Source organism: Homo sapiens, chromosome 11 (assembly GCF_000001405.40).
Source record: "Homo sapiens chromosome 11, GRCh38.p14 Primary Assembly".
NCBI classification, from domain to species: domain Eukaryota; kingdom Metazoa; phylum Chordata; class Mammalia; order Primates; family Hominidae; genus Homo; species Homo sapiens.
Genome location: NC_000011.10, coordinates 59,727,343 through 59,747,818, shown reverse-complemented (window position 1 = coordinate 59,747,818; position 20,476 = coordinate 59,727,343). Strand labels below are relative to the sequence as shown.

General features: G+C 40.9%; 2 pseudogenes; both read right to left on the bottom strand.

Moving 5' to 3' along the window:
* On the bottom strand, positions 5,769-6,493 carry OR10V3P (olfactory receptor family 10 subfamily V member 3 pseudogene; annotated as a pseudogene).
* OR10Y1P (olfactory receptor family 10 subfamily Y member 1 pseudogene) lies at positions 18,326-19,299 on the bottom strand (annotated as a pseudogene).

Genomic DNA, 20,476 nt, shown 5'->3' with positions numbered 1-20,476 from the left:
CTCATAATGTCTGTTTTGAAGACTTACTTGTTGTTAGTATCATTAGCATATAATGTCACTTCATTAGCTCCAGGCGGTTAAACTACTGTAAATGTTTCAATTCATTTGTAACTCCACACCAGGAAGTCCCTCACAGGGTTAGGAAATCCCAAAGCCCATAGGGTTCACTGGTCCATTCCCCAGGGTTTAGACCACATAACAGCCCAATCAGCCCAGTCTTCCCTTTACCCTTCCTTGTCTCCTGCCCAGAGAGGCTGATGATCACATCCTTACCAGAAACTGAGTAGAGCCCGAGGTAGAATCTTCTCCTTTACTATCTTGGGAACCATGGAGTCAAATCTCGATAAACCGCCTTTCACCGAGGGAAGCACACATTTAGATTCTGTTAGTCCTTTCCTGCTGCTGCTTCAAAAGAGAAGGCGGTGGGGCTTTCATTGTAGGTTCTTTCTCAACTCTCTCTCCTTCTCATATCATTTCTGGAGAATTCCCTGCCTAATTTGGTTCAGTAAAGCCCCAAGAGGATAACTTAGCTTTCAACTTGACCATCCCCAGTAGGGTTAAAGTTTGAACACAAACAGGAATTGCTTAAAGACAAGATAGTCTAAACTGGTTTAATTGTTACTGGACATATATATATATATATTTGAGACAGAGTATCGCTCTGTTGCCCAGGCTGGAGTGCAGTGGTGCGATCTCAGCTCACTGCAACCTCCACCTCCCGGGTTCAAGCAATTCTCCTGTCTCAGCCTCCCAAGTAGCTGGGACTACAGGCACACACCACCACGCCCAGCTAACTTTTGTATTTTTAATAGAGACGGGGTTTCACCATATTGGTCAGGCTGGTCTCGAACTCCTGACCTCAGGTGATCCACCCACCTCGGCCTCCCAAAGTGCTGGGATTAAAGGCGTGAGCCACTGTGCCCAGGCTAGACTTAGCTAGCTCTATTTTAATCATTGCTTAAGTTTTTATTCTCCACATTTAAGATAAGTTTGGCAAGATAGCCAGCTTTAATTCATCAAGGCAGAGGCTAATTTTGTGCACCTAGACAAATTCTCAGAATCTTCAAATTTCAGCCAAGTGTCTCCTGTCAAATGAAGCTTAATTCTGATATATACTTTCCCCCACCCTCCTCCAAGAAGGAAAAATTATTCCATGTTTCATGCTCTGTACTGGCTTTGTGCCCACCCCAATTACAGCAGTTATCACTCTGCGATATCATAGGACTTGTTGCTCCACCTCTACCAGGATAGGTCCTCAAAGAGAGTAACTTATTCAGCTAGATATTGCATTGCATTTTCTCATGTGGTGCTAAGCATATAGCACATGTTTAGCATTCATTGATTGCAGAACATTATGTCATTGGACATTCCTTCATTCATTCATCTAATGTTGTTCAAGACCATACACACTTTTTATAAATGAAGCGTTTTATGCAAACTGCTGATATTGATACCTGGTCAAGATTGTATAAAATATAGAAAATAGGTCAGGGGTGGTGGCTCACAAATGCAATGTCAGCAATCTGGGAGGCTGCGGCAGAAAGATCACTTGAGCCCAGGAGTTTGAGACCAGCCTGGGCAACATAGCAAGACCTTATCTCTACAAAAAAAAAAAAAAGAAAAATTTATTTTTAATTAGCCCATTGTGGTGGTGCACACCTGTAGTCCCAGCAACATGGAAGACTGAGACAAGAGGATCCTCTGAGCCCAGGAGTTTGAGGCTGCAGTGAGCTGTGATGACACCACTGCACTCCAGCATGGGTGACAGAGTGAGACCCTATCTCTTAAAAAAAAAAAAAAGGAAAAAATAAAATTTCCAAACTTGCATTATTCATGAACAACCTTCATGACTTATATTTTATCTCAGTTATTGATATTATTTACTTAACATTTTTCTTAAATTCAACTCACTCACTTTTTGTTACATAACAATGTGTATTGTACTATTTATATATATTTATCCCTCACTTATAAATAAACACAAAAGATGTTTAAATCCTTATTCATGTAGAACCTAAAACTTTCACTTCCTATACCAATAGCTCTGAAAACTCTGGAATCATTGTTGAAAAGAAGGACTTACAGGGTGTGTGTGTGTCTGTGTGTGTGTGTGTGTGTGTGTGTGTGTGTGAGAGAGAGAGAGAGAGAGAGAGAGAGAGAAAATTTGGCAGGAATTTTTCAAAGCAGTCTTGAAAAAAAATACAAGACCTTTCCTTAAGAAACAGTCACCACCCATTTAAGAGTGTATGTGAATCCTGGGCTGGGATATATTTTAAGGACATACAAGTGGTCAAGTGTCCACTCAAACAAAACCATTTTATTGCATTAGAGCAGTAATTGCAAGCTGCTGGCCTACAGGCTACAGACCATGAATAAGCTTTCGGATGGGTTGTGTTTCAAGGTTTTGTTCTACTGCCCAGTGCTTCAGGATGCACGTGGTGGAGCAGCTGCCATGTTTGAGTTGCAATTCAATTTATTTATTTATTTTTATTTATTTTTTATTTTTTATTTTATTTTATTTGAGACGGAGTCTCACTCTGTTGCCCAGGCTGGAGTGCAGTGGTGTGATCTCGGCTCACTGCAACCTCTGCTGCCCCCAAGGTTCAAGCAATTCCCCTGCCTCAGCCTCCCAAGTAGCTGGGATTACAGGCGCCTGCTGCCACCACGCCAGGCTAATTTTTGTATTTTTAGTAGAGACGGGGTTTCACCATGTTGGCCAGCTGGTCTTGAATCCCTGACCTCAGGTGATCCACCACCTCTGCCTCCCAAAGTGCTAGGATTACAGGCGTGAGCCACCAAGCCCAGCCACAGTTCAATTTATTTGGAGTCTACACTCTTTCTGCTAAAGCCAGAAAAACAGTCTCTGCATAACACAGAAAGCAATATTTAAAACAAATTTTTATATAATGGTTATACATATTTGGGGGGTACATGTGATATTTTGATAGCTGTATACATGTGTAATGATCAAACGGGGTAATTGGAATATCCATCACCTCAAATATTTATCTTTGTGTTGGGAACATTACAATTCTTCTCTTCTAGCTACTTTGAAATATACGATCAATTATTGTTACTGTAATTTCCCCACTCTACTATTGAACACTAGAACTTATTCCACCTATCTAACTGTATTTTTGCACGTCTTCACGAACTTCTCTTCATCCTCCCTCCCTGCTTCCATTCTCAGTCTCTGGCAACCACCATTCTATTGTCTACCTCCATGAGATCCACTTTTTTTAGCTCCTACATATGAGTGAGAAAGTGTGATATTTGTTTTTCTGTGCGAAGGCACTACTTGACAGTACTTTATTAATTCCAACCACACAAAATATTTTTAACCTTCTCTTTCTTCTTTAAGTTCTACATTTCATTATCCCTTCTCTTTCCTTTTCTTTTGCCTGTCTTTTTCTCCATTATCTATGCCTCTAAGTATGGTTCTCTATTTGCTGAATTTTTTTTTTTTTTTTTTGAGATGGAGTCTCACTCTGTTACCCAGGCTGGAGTTCAGTGGCGCAATCTTGGCTCACGGCAACCTCCACCTCCCGGGTTCAAGGGATTCTCCTGCCTCAAACTCCTGAGTAGCTGGGATTACAGGCAACTGCCATATCACCTGGCTAATTTTTGTATTTTTAGTAGACACGGAGTTTCACTATGTTGGCAGGCTGGTCTCGAACTCCTGACGTCAGGTGATCTGCCTGCCTCAGCCTCCCAAAGTGCTGGGATTACAGGCCTGAGCCACCGCACCCAGCCTATTTGCTGAATTTAATGTGCCTTTAATGGTTCCCTATTTGCTGAATTCAATGTACAAATGAAAACTCATTTTTTAAAAAAGCTTCAGGGAGAAAAGTCTATTGACTCCTTTGCAAGTGGCACCAGCCCTTAGCCATTTTCTGGCCCATCTTCTAGAATCAGACTCCAGGGAGTTTGGAAGAGAAAGTGATGGGATCCCAGGCGACTATGAGGCTATTACTATGATCAATGGATCATTTTCTCCCACATTCCCCATTGATTTACTGAGAGCCTCTAGCTGACCCCATCATTTCAACCTGAGTCTCCCAAATGCAACCACTAACCCCAGTGGACACAGTTGGCAAGTATGGGCTGTGTCTCTATGGCTTGAATGGGGGCCCAGCCAAGCTTGCTATTGGTAAATGAGGCCTCAACAAACACCTACATCTCCCCTCTCTAAGAATAGTAAGCATTTACACTCCAGTAAATGTTCTATGCCCCTAAAGATCTTTTTATTTATTTTTATTTCTATTTATTTATCTATTTATCTACTTATTTTAGAGATAAGGTCTTACTATATTGCCCAGGCTGATCTCGAACTCCTGGGCTCAAGCAATCTTCCTGCCTCAGACTCCTGGATTGCTTCAAATTACAGGTATGAGCCACTGCTAAAAGCTAAGAGTGAGGAGTGAATTTCACTTCAAAAAATTAGTAAATCATTGTATTTTTAGTGTTTTCTTCTTGAAATTTTTTGGTTTCTAGGTGAAACTTACCTGGGTAACAATCAAACCTTAAAATATATCTAAAGGAATTGTGTTCAGTAATGCAAAGATGGACATGAGCCTAACAATTTGCATTTTCAGTTTGCTCATGGGCCAGGTGCCCAACACTTTGGGAAGAGAGGTAGGAGGACTGCTTGCATCCAGGAGTTAGAGACCAGCCTGGGTCACATAGTAAGACCCCATCTCTACAAAAAAAAAAAAAAAATTAGTCAAGTCTGGTGACATGCACCTGTAGTCCCAGCTACTCAGGGGGCTGAAATGGAAGGATCGCTTGAGCCCAGGAGTTAAAGACTGCAGTAAGCCATGATCATGCCACTGCACTGCAGCCTGAGTGACAGGGCAAGATCCTGTCTCAAAAAAAAAAAAACAGTTTGCTTATGAGTTGATGTCTACAGCCTGGATTCTGTTACAGTAGACTTACTTCATTCAGCACTAAAGGACCATTCCACCTAGTACCATTTCCTTAAGTCTTTGCTGTTGGTTATTTACATAACCATTTCTCTAAAAGTATTCCCAGAAGATTGTCTTCATTCGGCTAAATTCATAGGTGGTTAAAGAAAGAGTTCTCATGATCAAATGTTTTGGGAAGCTCCAACCCTACAAAGATTGTTTCACTCTAGGATGCCCCAGATGAAGTGCATGTGAGTCTTCAAGAGGAAAGCAGTGTTAGTATGCACTTTTCTCCTCTTAGCCATGGAATTTTTTTTTACCAGTCATTTGAGGAAAGTAGGCACCTGAAAGTAAGCCAGCATTTTAAGAAATGCTGATTTATTCTGTTCTAGAAGAGAAGATGATACACCTCTTACGGTAACTCCTTTTCAGCAGCATTTGAGAATTCTGATATCTTGTGGCTACTGGAACTTGACACACTTGCCTTCTTAGCTAATAGTCACCTAAATAATGTAAATGCATTTCAGAAAGAAAAGAGAAATGGATTTTGTTTGTAGGAAGCAACAGAATCAAGACCCCAAGTCATCTGAGATCAGACTTAGCAATTTATATAGGACTATTAGGTCCACGGTCTCACTTGATGGTACTTTCAACAGGCCTCACAAGCAGGCTGATTTTAGAGATGAAAAAAGACATTGTGTCTTCACAGCCAGAAAAGGGATACAGCAACAAAAGGAGAGTCAATAGAATTTACAACAATTCCTGACACTTAGGTGTCTTTTTTCCCTTAACTTCTGTATGGTTCATTCAGTTTTCTTTTCCAGGTAGAAATAGCTTCTTGATCAACAATATCCAGAAAGAGTCAATGTGTTCTGAGCAGCAAGAACCTTGCAATTTCTTCTTTTTTTTTAAGAGCATGCTTGAGTTCCTTCTTCCTCATGCTGCAGATCAAGGGGTTTGGCACAGGAGTGATGCATGTGTAAACCGTAGACACTACCTTGCCCCTCTCATAAGAGAAGATGGAGCTGGGGCACAAATAGGTGAGGCTTGTTCATTGTGCTGGAGGAGAATTAAACCAGGTGGAAGGAGCAGGTGGGAAAAGCCTTGTGCCTCCCCTCTGCAGAGCGGATATCAGGATGGCAGCCACAATGAAGAAGTAGGAGAGTGTGATGAGGAGTTAGGAACAATTAGGACATCGACACTGACCATATGATTTGTGTTATAATTTAACATTTACAAAGTTTCATTTATATTTCATTTCAATCCTATAATACTTAGTATCTTGGGCTATGGTTAACATTCAGCTCTGCAGATGGCAAAACCACAATTCACAGAGGTGAAATGATTTTTCCAAGCTTGCACAGTTCATCAGTGGCTGATGTGGGATTTTAACCTAGACTTTTGACTTTATATGTGGATCTTCCTCCACTATTGTGGGTAATCAGCAAAAAGAGACCGTGAGTGTCAGAGGGGGGCCACCTAAAGCTGAGCTATGGCCTGCCTGACATCTTTAGTTTAAAAAAAGAAAGTTGGCTGGGCATGGTGGCTCATGCCTGTAATCCCAGCACTTTGGGAGGCCAAGGTGGGAGGACTGCCATACCCGACTAATTTTTGTATTTTTAGTAGAGACAGGGTTTCACCATGTTGGCCAGGATGGTCTCAAACACCTGACCTCAGGTGATCTGCCCACCTCAGCCTCCCAAAGTGCTGGGATTACAGGTGTGAGCCACCACACCCGGCCAGGAGTAGCTCTTCTTATATCAGACTAAACAAACTTTAAAGCAACAGCAGTTAAAAGAGACAAAGAGGGACATTATATAATGACAAAAGGACTGTCCAACAGGAAAATACACAATTCTAAATATATACGCATCTAACACATTGGAGCTCCCAAATTTATAAAACAGTTACTACTGGACCTAAGAAATGAGATAGACGTCAACACAATAATAGTGGGAGACATTAATACTCCACTGACAGCACTAGCCAGGTCAACAAGACAGAAAGTCAACAGAGAAACAAGGGACCTAAACTATACCTTACAGCAAATAGATGTAACAGATATTTATAGAACATTCTACCCAACAACTCCAAAATATACATTCTATTCATCAGCGCATGGAACATTCTCCAGGATAGGCCATATGATAGGCCACAAAACAATTCTCAGTAAATCGAAATTACATCAAGTACTCTCTCAGTGGAATAAAATTGGAAATCAACCATGTATTTGCATGTTTAAGGAACCCTTAAACATGCAAATACATGGAAATTAAATAACCTGCTCCTGAATGATCGTTGGGGCAACAATGAAATCAAGATGGGAATTTAAAAATTCTTTGAACTGAATGATAATAGTGACACAACCTATCAAAACCTCTGGGATACAGCAAAAGTGGTGCTAAGATGAAAGTTCAGAGCATTAAATGCCTACATCAAAAAGTCTGAAGAAGCACAAATAGACAATCTAAGGTCACACCTCACAGAACTGGAGAAACAAGAACAATCCAAACCCAAACCCAGCAGAAGAAAAGAAATAACGAAGATCAGAACAGAACTAAATGAAATTGAAACAAACAAACAAGAAATACAAAAGATAAATGAAACAAAAAGCTGGTTCTTTGAAAAAAATAAGTAAAATTGATAGGCTAGGGGTGATGGCTCATGCCTGTAATCCCAGCATTTTGGGAGACTGAAGTGGGCGGATCACCTGAGGTCAAGAAATCGAGATCAGCTTGGCCAACATGGCAAAACCTCATCGCTACTAAAAAGACAAAAAATTAGACAGGTGTGGTGGCATGGGCCTGCAGTTCCAGCCACTCGGGAGGCTGAGGTAGGAGAATCACTTGAACCCAGGAAGCAGAGGTTGCAGTGAGCCAAGATTGCACCACTGCACGGCAGCCTGAATGACAGAGCAAGACTCTGTCTCAACAAATTAAAATAAAATTGATAGACCATTAGCGAGATTAACAAAGAAGACAGAAGATCCAAATAAGCCCAGTTAGGAACAAAACAGGAGATAGTACAACTGATACCACAGAAATACAAAAGATTATTCAAGGCTTCTATGAATACCTTGAAATGTATTAACTAGAAAACCTAGAGGAAATGAATAAACTCCTAGATATATACAACCCTCCCAGATTAAACCAGGAAGATATAGAATCTCTGAACAGACCAATAACAAGCAGTGAGATTGAAATGGTAACCAAAAAATTGCTGACAAGAAAAAGTCTAGGACCAGACAGATTCACAGCTGAATTCTATCAGACATTCAAAGAAGAATAGGTACCAATCCTATTGACACTATTCCAAAAGATACAGAAAGAGGAAATCCTCCTAAATCATTCTATGAATCCAGTGTCACCCTAATACCAAAACCAGGAAAGGACATAGCAAAAAAAGAAAACTACAGACCAATATCTCTGATGAACATAGGTCTCATGAACATATCCTCAACAAAATACTAGTGAACCGAATCCAACAGTGTATCAAAAAGATAATTCACCATGATCAAGTGGGTTTCATACCAGGGAGGCAGGGATGGTTTAACATATGTAAATCAATAAATGTGATACACCACATAAGCAGAATTAAAATAAAAAATCACAGGATCATCTCAATAGATGCAGAAAGAGCATTTGACAAAATCCAGCATCCCTTTATGATTAAAAGAAATTGGCATAGAAGGGATATACCTTAAAGTAATAAAAGCCATCTAAGACAAACCCACAGCTAACATTATACTGAATGGTGAAAAGGTGAAAGCATTCTCCCTGAGAACTGGAAAAAGACATGGATGCCCACTCTCACCACTTCTCTTCAACATAGTACTGGAAGTCCTAGCCAGAGCAATCAGACAAGAGAATTAAATAAAGGGCATCCAAATTGGTAAAGAGGAAGTCAAACTGTTGCTGTTTGCTGATGATATGATTGTATACCTAGAAAACCCTAAAGACTCATCCAAAAAACTCCTAGAACTGGTAAATGAATTCAGTAATGTTTCAGGATACAAAATTAACATACACAAGTCAGTAGCTCTGCTATATACCAACAGTGATGTAGCTGAGAATCAAATCAAGAACTCAACCCCTTTCACAATAGCTGCAAAAATAATACTCAGTAATACACCTGACCAAGGACATGAAAGACCTCTACAAGGAAAACTACAAAGCACTGCTGAAAGAAATCATAGATGACACAAACAAATGGAAACACATCCCATGCTCATGGATGGTTAGAATCAATATTGTGAAAGTGATCCTTCTGCCAAAAGCAATCTATAAATTAATTGCAATTTCCATCAAAATACCACCATCATTCTTCACAGAACTGAAAAAACAATCCTAAAATTCATACAGAACCAAAAAAGAGCCCACATAGCCAAAGCAAGACTAAGCAAAAAGAACAAATCTGGAGGCGTCACATTACCCAACTTCAAACTATACTATAAGACCATAGCCAGCAAAACAGCATGGTACTGGTATAAAAATAGGCACATAGACCAACAGAATAGAATGGAGAACCCAGAAATAAACCCAAATACTTACAGCCAACTGCTGTTTGACAAAGCAAACAAAAACACAAAGTGGGGAAAGGACACCCTATTCAACAAATAGTTCTGGGATAATTGGCAAGCCACATGTGGAGGAATGAAACTGGATCCTCCTCTGTCACCTTATACAAAAATCAACTCAAGATGGTTTAAGGACTTTAAGACCTGAAACCATAAAGCTTCTGGAAGATAGCATGAGAAAAACACACTTCTAGACATTGGCTTGGGCAAAGACTTTATGACCAAGAACCCAAAAGCAAATGCAACAAAAACAAAGATAAAGAGATGGGGCTTAATTAAAATAAAAAGCTTCTGCACACAAAAGAAATAATCAGCAGAGGCCAGGCGCAGTGTCTCATGCCTGTAATCCTAGCACTTTGGGAAGCCAAAGTGGGCAAATCACTTGAGGTCAGGAGTTCAAGACCAGCCTGGCCAACATGGCCAAGATTGACCCACCACACTCCGGCCTTGGTGACAGAGCGAGATTTCATCTGAAAAAAAAAAAAAAGATATAATCGGCAGAGTTAACAGACAACCCACAGAGTGAGAGAAAATCTTCATAATCCATACATTCAACAAAGGACTAATATCAAGAATCTACAAAGAACTCAAACAAATCAGTGAGAAAAAAACAAACAATCCCGTCAAAAAGTAGGCTAAGGGCATGAATACACAATTCTCAAAAGAAGATATACAAATGGCCAGCAAGCATATGGAAAAATGCTCAACATCACTAATGATCAGGGAAATGCAAATCAAAACCACAATGCGATACCACCTCACTCCTGCAAGAATGACCATAATCAAAAAATAAAAAAAAATAGATGTTGGCGTGGATGCAGTAAAAAGGGAACACTTTTACACTGTTGGTGGGAATGTAAACTAGTAAAACCCCTATGGTAAACAGTGTGGAGATCCTTAAAGGACTAGAAGTAGAACTACTGTTTCATCCAGCAATCCCACTACTAGGTATCTGGTAGATACCTAGAGGAAAATAAGTTATTATATGAAAAGACACTTGCACATGCACGTTTATAGCAGCGCAGTTTGCAATTTCAAAAATATAGAACCAGCCCAAATGCCCATCAATGAACGAGTGGATAAAGAAAATGTTATATATATATACCATGGAATACTACTCAGCCATAAAAAGGAATGAATTAATGGCATTCGCAGCAACATGGATGGAATTGCAGACTATTATTCTAAGTGAAGTACCTCAGGAATGGAAAACCAAACATCATATGTTCTCACTCATATATGAGAGTTAAGCTATGAGGGCGCAAAGGCATGAGAATGACGCATTGGACTTTTGGGACTCAGGGGAAAGGGTGCGGGGTGGTGAGGGATAAAAGACTACACATTGGGTAGGTGTAGGCGCTTAGATGGTGGGTGCGCCAAAATCTCAGAAATCACCACTAACAAACTTATTCACGTAACCAAACACCACCTGTTCCCCAAAAACTTATTGAAATAAAAATATTTTTTAAAGAAATGAAAACCAATCATGTCCAAATCTTGTACACTAAATGTAAAACTTCTTACTCATTATTATTGCAGAATATAGGTGTTCCAGCTCTTGGGTAGAAACTATAATCAGAAATTTTCTCGTTTCCAATTCCTATCAAGATCCTGGTTGAGTAAAACAGCGTTTGTGGGGCATTTCTTGAAACGCTGGCTAATCAGGCTCTGATAATTTAGGTTTATTCCCTAAAATCAAGTTAGACAATCAAATAGCTGTATCCTTTTACTGGTTGTGATGGCCCGTTACAGAACTGCTTGAAGTGCCTTGTATGTCAATGACACACCATTAGCCTACATTGAGAATTAGTGGTTAAGGTCGCAGGCTCTGGAGTGAGGCTGAGCCAGCACTTACTACCTGTGTAATCTTGGGAAATTTGCTTACTCTCTCTGAGCCTCAGTTCTTTATGTGTAAAATGGGAATGATAATTGTACTTACCTCATAAGATTTTGTGGACTCAAATGAATTAACATGTACTAAGCACCTAAAACAATGATACATACTTAAATGCCCAATAAAAGACAGCTAGTGTTATTATCATTGCTGATGTGTTTTAATATATGGTATATTCTCCTTTGAAAACTGTAGGAAAAGACCCTTTTACATCTAAGGTTATGCCAAAAAAGTTAGATTTCTTCATATATTTGTATGTTATTATATGAACTTTAAAATTCTCAAATTTAATTGTGTTTTATTCTTTCTCTTGGCTACTGGGAAGCTCAGATGCCTATAGCTGGCCACTGTCTAAACCGCAGAGGAGCACATGCTTTGCCTTTCTGCATAGCAATCTTACTACTGTATTTTTTACTATCCTGATGGATTTTTTTCTTTACCCCAATCTTCTTGACCATGTGTTTTTAACTTTTGGATTAGATGTATCTTTAAGCTGCTTCAAATCTTTTGTGGAAGGAGATTGGGAATAGAATAGATGAAAAATAGAGAAGTAATTTATTAAGTTCAACAAATGCCATTGTTATAGATAAAATATTTATCAAATCTTCTCCACATTAGCACTATTAAAAATACTTGTGCTCAGCACTATGGTTGATCCTTGTAATCCCAAAAACTCAGGAAGCTGAGGTGGGAGAATCACTTTAGGCCAGGAGCTCAAGGCTGCAGTGAGCCATGATTATGCCACTGCCCTCCAGCCTGGATGAGAGAGTGAGACCCTGACTCTAAAAAATAAAATAAAATAAATAAAATGCTTGTATGACCCTTCACTTCTTAATGTTGTTGCCCAGCCAAGGACCCCAAGAATTCTTGCCACTGGGTTTCCATATTGGTTTTCTTCATTTTTTCCCTTTTTTGTATATTGCACGATTAGATATGGGATAGAGTGGCTTCTATCATCTATTGCATTGCATTTGCCACATCGAGAAGATAATGAGGGGCCAGGCATGGTGGCTCACACCTGTAATCCTAGCACTTTGGGATGCCATGGTAGGCGGATCATTCGAGGTCAGGAGTTTGAGACCAGCCTGACCAACATGGTGAAACCCCGTCTCTACTAAAAATACAAAAAAAATTAGCCAGGTATGGTGGCGCACGCCTGTAGTCCCAGCTACTCAGGAGGCTGAGGCAGGAGAATCACTTGAACTCAGGAGGCGGAGGTTGCAGTGAGTCAAGATTGCACCACTGCACTCCAGCCTGGGTGACAGAGGGAGACTCCATATCGAAAGAAAAAGAAAAAAAGCAGAAGAGAATGGAGACTATTTTCTTTTATCTTATTAAGGAAGGTATCTTGAAAATATCTTTCCCTACTCCTAATCTTCCATTTGAGCCTCTCCACCAATCTCTGTAACAACCCTGCTCATTGCCTATTGCGGTTTTGGCATTCCCCTGGAAGGATTGCAGGATCCAATATACTGCCATAAGAAGTAGCTGACTCTACTACTCACTTTGGGAAGAGCTGATATGACCTTCAGGAAGGTGAGACTTACACAACTTAGCGAGAGCTATTCAGTTGCAAGTGACTAAGAACCTTAAAGATACACACACACATATACACACACACGGCTTATTGTGTACTTTCCTATTATATTTTTGCATACCCATTATCTCATTTGACTATCATTCCAGTCCTTTGAGGTAGGAAAGCTGCCATTATTATTATTATTATCCCCTTTTTACATAAAGGAAAGATTAGAGCTCAAGTCTGTGCCCTGGACCCTAAGGCTAAGCACTTACTATGTGCCCAGCACTGTGCCAGAAAATACACAGAAAAAGTAAGCCATTTCTTCTGACCCAAGGGGCCTTATAGGCATATTATAGAGGCAATACCAAAATATATGAAACTCAGTTTATAGAAAGAAGTATGATTTAATGAAAAGAGAAAGATCACCACCAGATAGAGTTGCCAGGCAGATTTTCTTGAGGCAGTGGAACTTGAGCAGGCCTTAAAAGACAAAGGGTCAAAAAGACATACGGATATGTAAATCCATTGGGTCTGCATGCCTTCAGGGCTGTAGGCCCTCAAAACAGCAGACAGGATGGCATCCACTCTACCACCTGCTCCCACCAATCCATCCATCCATTCATTCATTCATTCTTTTTTTTTTCTTTTGAGATGGAGTCTCACTCTGTCGCCTAGGCTGGAGTGCAGTGGTGCAATCTCGGCTCACTGCAAGCTCTGCCTCCCGGGTTCATGCCATTCTCCTGCCTCAGCCTCCCAAGTAGCTGGGACTACAGGCACCCACCACCACACCTGGCTAATTTTTTTGTATTTTTAGTAGAGATGGGGTTTCACCATGTTAGCCAGGATGGTCTTGATCTCCTGACCTCGTGATCTGCCTGCCTCGGCCTCCCAAAGAGCTGGGATTACAGGCGTGAGCCACCACGCCCGGCCACATTCATTCTTTTATTCATTGACCTTCCTGTGCCAGTCCTTATTCTAAGCCCTATGGTGGAAGAGGAGTTTGTGGAGGTGGTAGTATCAGAGGCGTTTGAATCACAGCAACTCCATCTTGAATAGGGGCTGGGCAAAATAAGGCTGAAACCTACTGGGCTGCATTCCTAGGAGTTTAAGCATTCTAAGACATAGGCTGTGATAGGAGGTCAGCACAAGTTACAGGTCACAAAGACTTTGCTGATAAAACAGCATATGGTAAAGAAGCCAGCCAAATCCCACCAAAACTAAAATGGCGATGCAATGAAAGTGACCTCTGGTCATTCTCACTGCTCATTATACACTAATTATAATGCATTAGCATGCTAGAGGACACTCCTACTCTTCCCGGACCAAACTGAGGGTCGAGCTGCTATTTCTCGTGGCCCAATAACGAGATGCAGATGAACGGGGCAGGAAGACAGGTTTCATTTCTGTAACCAGAGAAGAGAGAAGGCCTGGAAATTATCACCAGACCAACTCAAAATTACAGTCTTCCAGAGTTTATATACCTTCTAAACTGTATGTCTACATGTAAGCGTGCATTCTTCTAAAGACACAAGTGATTAACCTTTTTTTTTTAGATGGAGTTTCACTCTTGTTGCCCAGGCTGGAGTGCAATCGCACAATCTCGGCTCGAGGCAACCTCTGTCTCCCGGGTTCAAGCAGTTCTCCTTCCTCAGCCTCCCAAGTAGCTGGGATTACAGGCACCCACCACCATGCCCAGCTAATTTTGTACTTTTAGTACAGACAGGGTTTCTCCATGTTGGTCAGGTTGGTCTTAAACTCCCAACCTCAGGTGACCTGCCCGCCTCGGCCTCCCAAAGTGCTGGGATTACAGGCATGAGCCACCATGCCCAGCCAACTTCTTTTAATCTATAACTAAGGTCTGAGTCCTGAAGACCTTTTTCTGGAGCCTCAGTAAGTTTACTTAATCTAAATGGGTCTAGGTGCTGGGGTGATTACCCTTATCATGTCTCCCGCTAAATCATAAAGGTTTGGGGAGTTCCTTTAGACCCCAATAAACTTGTTTGTGGAGGCCTGGGGAGTTTCGTCAGACCCCCAATAAAACTTGGTTAATCCTAAAAGGGTCCTGTTAAGAATTCCTTCATTACCTTGTCATGCTTGAAGGCCCAGGAAAAGCCTAGGCAAAACTCTTGGTGGGCTGTTTGTTACATTCCAGCCTTTGTATAAGGGCACTGGCTCAATCAGCTTTTAATATTTAACCTAGCTTCTCAGTCAGTGCTGGGACAGTTGTAATGGAGGCCTGCATTAGTGAGACCTGGCCTGCCATAATACCAGCACCATGACAGTTTACAGATGCCATGGCAATGTCAGGAAGTTACCCTATATGGTCTAAAAATGGGAGTAATCCTCAGTTCTGGGAATTGCCCACCCCTTTCCCAGAAAACTTATGAATAATTCACTCCTTGTTTAGCATATAATCAAGAAATAACCATAAAAATAGCCAACGAGCAGCCCATTCTGCTGCTCTGCCTATGGAGTTGCCATTCTTTTATTCCTTTACTTTCTTAACAAACTTGCTTTCAGTTTATTCTATGGACTTGCCCTGAATTATTTCTTGCACAAGATCCAAGAACCCTCTCTTGGGTTCTGGGTCGGGACCCCTTTCTGGTAACAGTAGGACCCAATCCAGGGATTCATCATTGGAATCTAATGAAAGGTGGAGAAATTACTGCTGATCAGCATTTCATAGGCCAAGACAGCCATTAAGGGGTTTGGATCACAATCTCGAACACCATACATAATCCTAAAAGTTGAAATCCTGAAAGATCAATATTTCTAAACTAAAAATCCCTTATATTTAAATTCCTCAAAATCACAATCATGTGACAGTTGCCTCACATTAGGCAGAATAAGGTAATAAGGTAATAACCTTATTATTGTCCCTATCTGGAAATAACTATGGTTTAAAGAGATGAATATTGGTGCCAAATTGACAAGGGTGGACTTGTGGACTCAATTTTTGGTGTCAACTTGTCTGGATTAAGGGATACCTAGAAACGTGTTAAAGCATTATTTTAGGTGTGTCTGTGAGGGTGTTTCCAGAGCAGATTAATGTGTGAGTCTGAGTGGATTAGGTGGGGGAGATCTGCCCTCAGTGTCAGCTGGTACCATCCAATGGGCTGGGGACCTAGAGAGCCCACAAATACAGAAGGCTGGGTTTGGTGGCTCGTGCGTGTAATCCTAGCACTTTGAGAGGCTGAGGCGGGCAAATTGCTTGAGCCCAGGAGTTCGAGACCAGCCTGGGCAACATGGCAAAAAATCCTATCTCTACCAAAAAAAAAAAGAAAAAATTAGTCAGGCATGGTGGTGCATGCCTGTAGTCCCAGCTGTGCAGGAGGCTGAGATGGGAGGATTGCTTGAGTCCAGGAGGTGGAGGTTGCAGTGAGCCAAGATCACACCACTGCACTCCAGCCTGGGTGACAGAGCAAGACCCTTCCTCAAAAAACACACACACACACACAAAAACAGAAGCAAACTGACTCTCTCTGAGATCTGGGACACACTTTTCTTCAGATGCCTTAGACATCAGAACTCCAGGCCAGTGGCCTTTGGACTCCGGGACTCACTAGCAGCTCCCAGGTTCCTGTCAGCCTCGGACTCAGAGTTACACCATCAGTCTCCCTAGTTATGACAGATTTGGAATTAGGTGCAATCAAGACTCCTAAAAATGAATTTCAAAGTATTACCAATAAAAAGCTTTTTTAAAAAATTCATCCCAATGCATTTGGTGAAAAATTCAGATGAGTGAATTGGCCACATGATATGACAAGGACAACAACTTCAGTGTGAGAATGGATAATTTGCCTGCATTGGCATTCCTTTCAGCTGATGACATGCCAGAAACTTTTAACAAATTAAAGTTGCATTTGCCTGAAGAAGCCAGTGAAGTTACTGATTGGTTCAAAAATAATTATGTGCAAGCTAAGATAAGAAGACACACAATGGTGTTGCTGTTTGATCACCAGTATTGTTTCTGCCAAATTTATGGTCTGCATATAAATGTATGGATTTCCACATGCCCAAAACAATATAGATGGATGGCACAGAAGATGAAAAAATTTAATAGGGAATGCTCATGTCCATGTGTATAGAATCACAGAAGAATTTCTGAAACAGCAGCACCACATAGAAAATGAATACGAGCATATTCTCCAGGAAGAGCCATGTCCTAAAAGAAAAAAAAAGCAGCTACTTATTGCAATGCAAGACTTCAAAATGTAGTTAATGATTATGAAACTCAGAAAGCTCTTATGGACTTCCTTTGTCTAATTGCCCATAATTTACCCCTGAAATATGCATTTTCATATGTCAAACTTTTGTTTTGTTTTTGTTTTTGTTTTTTGTTTTGTTTTATTTTGTTTCTTTTGAGACGGAGTCTCACCCTGTCACCCCAGCTGGAGTGCAACGGTGCGATCTCAGCTCACTGCAACCTCCGCCTCCCGGGTTCAAATGATTCTCCTGCCTCAGCTTCCCAAGTAGCTGGAATTACGGGTGCCCAACACCACGCCCAGCTAATTTTTGAATTTTTAGTAGAGACGTGGTTCGCTATGTTGGCCAGGCTGGCCTCGAACTCCTGACCTCGTGACCTGCCTGCCTCGGCCTCCCAAAGTGCTGGGATTACAGGTAGTTTTGTATTTTGTTTTTAGTATTTTTAGTTTTTTCTCACAATTTTAAATTGCCAGCATTATTTTTAACAATTCACTATGCTATGTAGTTTATCTTTGCATCATTTCCAATACTGGAGGTATAAATTTTGTAAAGACATTTAGAGAGTTCTAATACATTGTATGCATTTTTTGCAAATTTGACCCCACAAAAGTGCATTATTGCAACATCGACTTTGTGTGTAAGCATTGTGCGTAACATGAAAGTGTTAAAACTTCCTCAGTAAATGAAGAAATGTCCTTTTTGTGCATCTACTTTTGTGAAAGATAACATTTCTCAAGATATCAGCTCTTTGAGTGACTGCCTGAGCAGCGGTGACCCACTGCAGTTTTTCATCAATCTCGTCAAAAGACTTAGGTTGTCCCTACAGTATTTCAGATGACTGCAGTTATATGAGCTATTTCTTTGTAAATACGGTTCAGCATCTGCTCATAACTGTCATACTCATGTGACTGTCATTAGTGTACCTGAGTGCTTATGCTTGCAAAAATATGTATCTTATTATTGCCTATTTTAATGTGTAAAGTGCCCTATAACATACTCTGCAGTGCTTTTATGTTTCTCAAATAAATCCCCTTTTACAAATGTAAATAAATATCTTTTAAATAATTTTTAAATTCTTTTTTCAGAATTATATTTTTGGGATTTTGATCTTTCAAGATTTTAAGACTTGGATTGTGTCTTTTGGGATTATGACTGGCTCCCCATGCTCCACTTCTTCCTTTTTGTCTTTGAGCTTCCTGTCCCTTAGATCATGTCCTCCTAGTTAGGGAAATATTTTTTAAGAAGGAATATTTCTGGCTGTTAGAACAAGGACATTCTTGCCACAAGTCTCTCTACTGCATCAGTTACGTCTTGGTTCCATACGCTATAGATCAAGGGATTCCACACCGGGAGAAAAACATGTGAACAAGAGATACCTCCCAGCCCTCCTCTGGGGAGTAACTAGAGCTGGGGCAAAGGCAGATGAGGATGCAACACCAATACTTCAGGAGAACCACAATGAGGTGGGAGGAACTGGTAGAGAAGGCCTAGTGCTTTCTCTTAGCTGAATGCATCCTCAAGATGGTGGCTGCAAGGCAGCCATAGGGGAGGCAGACAAGGAGGAAGGAAGGGGATGGTGATGGTGGCCACACGGAAGTCAGAGAGCTGACTCATGCATGTGGTGTCTGCACAGACCAGGCACTTGCTGTGGGCATGTCACAGAAGAAGTGGTAGGTTTCATTAGGCCACAGAATGGAGGGTGTCAGATCAACATAGTCAAAAACAGTGACAACAGGAATCCCAGCCTCAAAGAGCCCAAAGTCATCTGCCCACAGAGCTACCCACTCATGATGAGATTGTAATTGAATGGATGACAGATGGTTATATACCTATCATAAGCCATGACAGCAAGCAAGACACACTCAGATCCTCTCAAAAGGATGACAAAGAGCATCTGAGTTCCATAGCCAGGGAGGGAGATAAGCATCTTCCCCATGTAAAGGACGGTAGCCAGTGTTGGAGGAGAAATGTTGGTGGAGTAGCCAATTTCCAACATAGTCAATGCCAAAAAAATAAAAATAAATACATTGGAATATGGAGGAAGGGATCTTGCCAGACTGTGGGCCCAAAGGTGAAGTGTCCAACAAGGCTTCTTGGTGCAACATCAAGGCCACAATTATAAAGGAAGCCACCACCAGGTCTGTTGAAAAGAAGTGGAAGTGGAAGTGTACCACTCCCCTCTGGTTTTCCTCTTCCATTAGACCTGGTACAAGGAAAGAAATCATAAGCAAAGTTACTCTTCTGTGTCATTGAGCCTGAGGAGGTTCAGCTATGTTAAAAACACACTATGCAATCACCGCGTATGTATCCTCATTGCTTCCTTTGGAGTTTAGTCAATGTTAGCTGCCACTCCTACTGCTTAATCTACTGGCAGTGTGACTTTGGAGAAGTTATGAACGTCAGCATTCTCTGTTTAAACATGGGAAGAGTGTAACACCCATCTCAGAGTCCTGGGGAAAATTAAATGAGATCTTATGTGTCAAAGTGCTAAGCCCAATGCCAGATGTGGAGTAGGTTCTCAGTAAGTGTCTTCCTGTTTTTATTCTTTCCTTGGTCTTCATTCCTTTTTTTTCATAACAAACCCTCCTGATCATTCTCATGCCTCTTCATTACTATGATTATTCCACCACCCAGCTTAAAATATATACAGGTTAAAAGTACAGATTTCTGGCCGGGAATGGTGGCTCATGCCTGTAATCCCAGCACTTTGGGAGGCCAAGGCAGGCGAATCACCTGAGGTCAGGAGTTCAAGATCAGCCTGGCCAACATAGTGAAACCCTAAAATACAAAAATACAAAAATTACTACTAAAATTACTACTAAATCTACTAAAAATACAAACATTAGCTGGGTGTGGTGGTGCATGCCTATAATCCTAGCTACTCTGGAAGCTGAGACAAGAAAATCTCTTGAACCCAAGAGGCGGAGGTTGCAGTGAGCCAAGACCACACCACTGCACTCCAGCCTGGGAGACAGAGCAAGACTCTGTCTCAAAAAAAAAAATTATAGATTTCTACAAACAGCAGATGATTCTCATATCAAGCCCAGAGGACAGAAAGCACAGATGTTTCCTCTATCCATTTTACAAATGTGGAAACCAGAAGCCCAGTGAAATTAAATAGCCCATACTGTTATCCTTCCTATTCTTCAAACCCAGAATTTTGGCACCATATTTTTTTTCCTTGAAACTTCAACAATCCTGTTTTGTTTTGTGCTGTGTACCAGATATTAACCCTACTCTTATTTCACTTTATATGTTGACCTTCATTTCTATGATGGTGTCTGGCCTAGATAGGCTTTTCATCCCCTCATGTGCAGCTCACCCTCTCAAAAACCCAACTTATCATACTCTTTTTTTTTTTTTAAAACGGAGTC